The sequence below is a fragment of the Homo sapiens genome, chromosome 4 (assembly GCF_000001405.40).
Source record: "Homo sapiens chromosome 4, GRCh38.p14 Primary Assembly".
In the NCBI taxonomy this organism is placed as follows: Eukaryota; Metazoa; Chordata; class Mammalia; order Primates; family Hominidae; genus Homo; species Homo sapiens.
Window position 1 is genome coordinate 49,562,432 of NC_000004.12, and position 6,000 is coordinate 49,568,431.

Genomic DNA, 6,000 nt, shown 5'->3' on the forward strand with positions numbered 1-6,000 from the left:
GTGTATATGATCTAGACCTCAAACCCTATAAAGATTCTCAAAGAAGTTGGCTGGATAAAGCCTACTGTGGATGTCTTTATATTCAAAGATTGATGATGCAATTTGAATATGTGTCTCCTCCGAATCTCATGTTGAATTATATTTCCTAATGTGGAAGGTGGATCCTGGCATAAGGTAATTGAATTATGAAGGCAAATTTCTCATGAATGGTTCAGCACCATCCCCTTGTACCGTCCTCACAATAATGAGTGACTTCTCATGAGGTCTGGTCACTGAAAACTCTATGTCACCTCCCTACTCTCCGTGTTTTCCCCTTGCCATGTGAGACAACTAATTCTTTCTTTGCCTTCCATGATTATTGAAAGATTTCTGAGGCCTCCTAGAAGCAGAAGCACTGTGCTTAGAACCATGAGACAATTAAACCTATTTTTCAAAATAAATCATACAGAAAATGGCAAATGAGGACTGGAGCACTGCTATAAAGATACCTGGAAATGTGGAAGCAGCTTTGGAACCCGGTAATGGATGGAGGTTGGAAGAGTTTGGAAGGCTCAAAAGAAGACAGATAGATGAGAAAACTTTTGGACCATCTTAGAGTCTGGCTCAATTGTTGTGACAAAAATCCTGACAGAAACATGGACAATGAAGACCAGACTGAGGAGGTCTCAGAGAGAAATAAGCTTTCTGGAAAATGTCTTTATTTTGGATATGGAAAGCTTACACAATGCCTGTACCATCATTGTACCTTAGAAGCAGTGAACTTGCTTTTTTCAGAGACTCATAGGCAAAAGAGACTGCAGCCTTGACCCAGATGAGATTTGGATTTTGTAACTTTGAGTTAATCCTGAAATGAGTTAAGACTTTGGGAGACTGCTGGCAAGGCATGATTGTATTTTGCAATGTGAGAAGGACATGAGATTCATGGGGTCAGGGACAGAATAATACGGTTTTTCTCTATGTCCCTACCAAAACTCTTATGGAATTATATTTTGTAATGTTAGAGGCGGGGCCTAGGTGGAAAAAGATTTAGTCATAAAATGGTGCAGGTAGATACTTCACGAATGATAAAGGACCATCACCTTGATGCTATCCTCCTGATAGTGAGTGACTTCTCATGAGATCTGGTTGTTTAACAGGCTGTGGAACCTCTTTCCTCACTCTGTCTTCCTCCTACTCCTGCTTTAGGAGACATCTCATTGTCCCTTGGCTTTCTGATATAACGAGGAGTCTTCCTGATTCCTCCCAGAAACAGAAGACACAATGATTCCTTCACAGCTTGCAGAAACATGAGTCAATTACACGTCTTTTATTTACAATAATACAGAAAATTAGAACTGCAGAGAGGAGCTGTGAAATGTCTTCAAGGCCTTTTTCCCTTTGTCTTGGCTATTAGCACAGGGCTTCTTTATATGCAAATTTCTGAAATCTTCTTGAATGTTTCCCCTTAAATGGGATTTTTGTTATTGCTACCTAGCCAACCTGCTATACAGATAGCTAAAAAAGTAGAAGCAGGCTCAATAGTGGGTAGCAAACAAAGATTGGAAGGGCTTGGAGGGATTAGAGTACTAGAGGGAGTGGGAGGGAGTGATTTAATCATGGATGGGTGGGGGTGGATGTGGAAGGGAAAAAGGGGTGGGTAGGGTGGGAGGGAGTAGACTGGCTGTATGGTGGTGGGAAGGTGGTGGGTAGTAGGAAGGGGGAGTAGCCTGCTGCAGAGGCAGAGCCTCATGGAAAATCCCTACTGGGGAATTGCACCTGTGGCTTTGCAGGTCTGAGCCCCCATGGCTGCTCTCATAGACTGGACTAGTGTTGAGTGCCTGTAGCTTTTCCACACGGAGGGTGCAAGCTGTTGGTGGGTCTATGTATCTGGGGTCTGGAGGGTGGTAGCATGGGGGCTCCAAGTCCATATTTTCCTTCTGCACTGCCCTAGTAGAGGTTTCCCAATAACTCTTCGTCTGCAGGAGGCTACTGCGTGGAAACAGTAGGAGGTGGGTGTGGGAGGCAGATCCTTCACCAATGGTTAGGCAACGTCTTCTTGATGCTGTCCTCATGATAGTGTGTTCTCATGAGATCTGGTTATATAACAGGGGGTGGTAACTCTTTCCTCTCGCAGTCTTGCTTCTACTCCTGCCATTTGAAATATCTCATTGCCCCTTGGCCTTCTGGTATGATTGGGAGGCTTCCTGATCTGATCCTCCCAGAAGCAGAAGCCACTATGCTTCCTTTACAGCCTGCTGTATAGTGAGCCAATTAAACCTCTTTTCTTTATGATCATACAGAAAATCAGTGCTATGAAGTGGAGCCATGAAATGCCTTCAAGGCCCTTTCCCCTTTGTCTTGGCAACCAGCACTCAGCTTCTTTTCATGCAAATATCTGAAGCCTTCGTGAATTTTCCCCCGAAAATGGACTTTTCTGTTTTACCACATTGCCAGGCTCTGATAAAGATAGCTGACAATGTAGAACCAGGTTCAGAGTGAGTAAAAAACAGAGGTCAGAAGAATTGGGAAAGCTTAGAAGACAGCAAGATGAGGAAAATATTGGACCACTATAGAGAATTGTTAAATACTTGTGATCAGAAGGCTGACAAAAGTTTAAACACTGAAGTCCAGACTTAAAAGGTCTCAGATGAAAATGAGGAATTTCCTATTAATAGAAGCCAAGATTACATTTGATTGGCCTTAGCAAAGAAGCTGGCTGCACGGGGACCCTGCCCTGGAGATCTGTGAAACTAGGAACTTGGGGGTGATGATTTAGGATGTATTTGGTGAAATGAACATCTAGGCAGCATAACACAAGAGGTGACCTGTCCGCATTGAACAGCCTGTGTTCTTAAGGGTGACCTAAGAAATGACTTCAAGTTGGAACTTCAAGTGGAGATCTAAAGTTTGGAAAATTTGGAGCCTGGCCAAGTGGTCAAAAAGAAAAGCCGATTTTGAGGGGGAAAATTCAAGAAGGCTTAGGGTATTTGCATAAAAAGGAACCCAGTGCAAATAGCCAAGACAGTTTGAAACCGTCCTTGAAGGTATTTTAGAGAAGTCTGCAGCAGCCCTTGCTGTCACAGGCCCCGGGGCCTAGGAGAGAAGAATGGTTTCCTACTCCAGTCCCATGGCCCTGCTGCTGTGTTCAGCCGCAGGACACTGCTGCCTGCATCTGTGCAGCTCCAGCACCAGCCATGGCTGAAAGACATACAGGTACAGCTCGGGTCATTGCTTCAGAGGTGGCTCAAAGTCTTGAAGGTTTCCATATAGGGTTAAGCCAGTAGGTGCACAGAGAAAGAGACTAGAGGCTTGGGAGCTCCCGTCTAGACTCCAGAAGATGTACAGAAAATCCTGGATGTTCAGGAAGAAGCTTTTCCAAGAGGCAGAGCCTTATGGGGAACCTCTACTAGGGGAGCAAAGAAGGGACATATAAGGTTGAAGCCCCCACACAGGGAGGCATCACTCTCTAAACCCCAGATTCATAGACCCACAAACAGCTTGCACCCCTGGTGTGGAAAAGCTATGGGCACTCAACAACAGCCCTGTCCATGAGAGACAGCCACGGAGGCTGAACGCTGCAAAGCCACAGGGGCAGATCTGCCCAAGGCCTTGGGAGCTCAGCCCTCACAGCCCTGTGCCATGGATATGGGACAAGGATTCAAAAATGATGATTTTGGAGATGTAGCATTGAGTGACTGGCCTGCTGCGTTTTGGACATTTATGTATCCTATGAGTCCCTTCTGTGTTTTGTGCTTCTTTCTAGGAATTATTTTTTTCTGTTGGCTGGGAATGCTTACCCATTGCCTATACAATCCTTGTACCTTGGAAGTAGTAAATTTTCTTTATAATTCAGTGACTCATGGGCAGAAGGGACTGTAAACTTGTCTCAGATAAGACTCTGGGCTTTGGGCCTTTGAGTAAATGCTGGAATGAGTTAAGATTTGAGAGACTCTAGGGAAGGCATCATTGCATTTTGCAATGTGAGAAAGACATGAACTTTGGGGGACCAGGGACAGAATAATATGTTTTGGCTCTCTGTCTCTACCAAAGCTCATGTGGAATATTAATGGGAAATGTTAAAAGTGGGGGCTGGTAGAAGGTGATTTCATCATGGTGAAGAGTGGAGGATGGATGGTTGGGGGGCGGGGAGGGTTGGGGGATTGGGGGGCGAGGAGGGTTGGAGGGGATTGGGGGTTGGGAGGGTTGGAGGGGATTGTGGTGGGGTTGGGGGTGAAAGGCATGGGTGGGGGTGGATCCTTCACAAATGGTTAAACACCATCTCCTTAATGCTGTCCTTCTGATAGTGAGTTCTCTTCATGAGTTTGGAGCTGTGAGATTGAATGAACACTGACCTACTGTATTTTGGATGTCCATTGGGCCTGTGGCCCCATTTGTGTTATTTTTCTTGGAAATTTCTTTCCTTTGGATTGAGAAAGCTTACCCAGTACCTGTACCATCATTGTACCTTGAAAGAAACAAACACCCTTTTAGCTTCAGGGAATCATAGGCAGAAGAAACTGTAGCGTTGTCTCAGATGAGACTTTGAACTTTTTACATTTGAGTTAATGCAGGAAGGAGTTAAGGCTTTTGGAAACTTTTGAAAAGGTATGAATGTATTTTATTCTGTGAGAAGGATATGAGGTTTGGGGGGTCAAGGTCAGCATAGTATGATTTGGCTGTGTGCCCCTGGAAAAACTGATGTGGAATTGTAATGCCAAATGTTGGAGGCAGGACCTGGTGGGAGATTATTTAATCATGGATGGGAGGGGTAGGGGTGGAAAAAAATGGGGTGGGTAGGGTGGGGAAGAGTAGGCTGGCTGTAGGGTGGTGGGAGGGTGGTGGGTAGTAGGAAGGGGGAGTAGACTGCTGCAGAGGCAGAGGCTCATGGAAACCTCTAGCAGGGCAGTGTGCCTGTGGCTTTGCAGGCTTTAGCCCCCATGGCTTCTCTCATGGGCTGGGCTGGTGTTGAGTACCTATCACTTTTCCATACTGAGGGTGTGAACTGTTGGTAGGTCTAGGAATCTGGGGTCTAGAGGATGGTGGCCTCCTGCATAGTCACTCAAAGCCCTTATTTTCCTTCCGCACTGCCATAGTACAGGATTCCCAAGAGCCTCTGCCTCTGCAGCAGACTTCTGTCTGGAACACTAGGAGGTGGAGCTGTGTTGGGGGGCGGATCCTTCACCAATGGTTAAGCACCATCTTCTTGATGCTGACCTAGTGATAGTGAGTCCTCGTGAGATCTGGTTATATAACGGTGTGGCACCTCTTTCCTCTCTCAGCCTTGCTCTTACTCCTGCCGTATGAAACATTTCATTGCTGTTTTCCTACTGGTATGATTGGGAGTCTTCCTGAGTCCTCCCAGAAGCAGAAGCCACTATGCTTTCTTTACAGCCTGCAGAACCATGAGCCAATTAAACCCCTTTTCATTATGATCATACAGAAAATAAAGTACTGTGAAGTGGAGCTATGAAATATCTGCAATGACATTTCCCCCTCGTCTTGGCTATTAGCACTGGACTTCTTTTTAATGCAAATATCTGAAGCCTTTTGAAGTTTCCCCCTGAAAATGGACTTCTTTTTCTTCTACATTGCCAGGCTGCAATAAAGATAGCTGAAAATGTAAAGCAGGTTCAGAAGTGGGTAAAAGCCAGAGGTTGGAGAGTTTGGAGAGCTTGAAAGAAGACAGGAAGATGAAAGAAATTTTGGACCATAGTAGGCACTTGTTGAATAGTTGTGATTAAAAGGCTGGCAGAAGGATGGACAGTGAAGGCCAGGCTTACAAGGTCTCAGATGAAAATGAGGAAATTACTGGGAACAGGAGCCAAGGTTACTTTTGTTTTGCTATAGCAAAGAACATGGCTGCAGGGCGACCTTGCCCTCGAGATCTGTGAAACTTTGAACTTGAGGGTGATGATTTAGTACATATCTGGTGGAATGAACTTCTAGGCAGCATAGCACAAGGGGGATCCTGTCTGCATCAAACAGCCTGTGCTCTTGTGTGACCGAGGTTATGTGTGACCG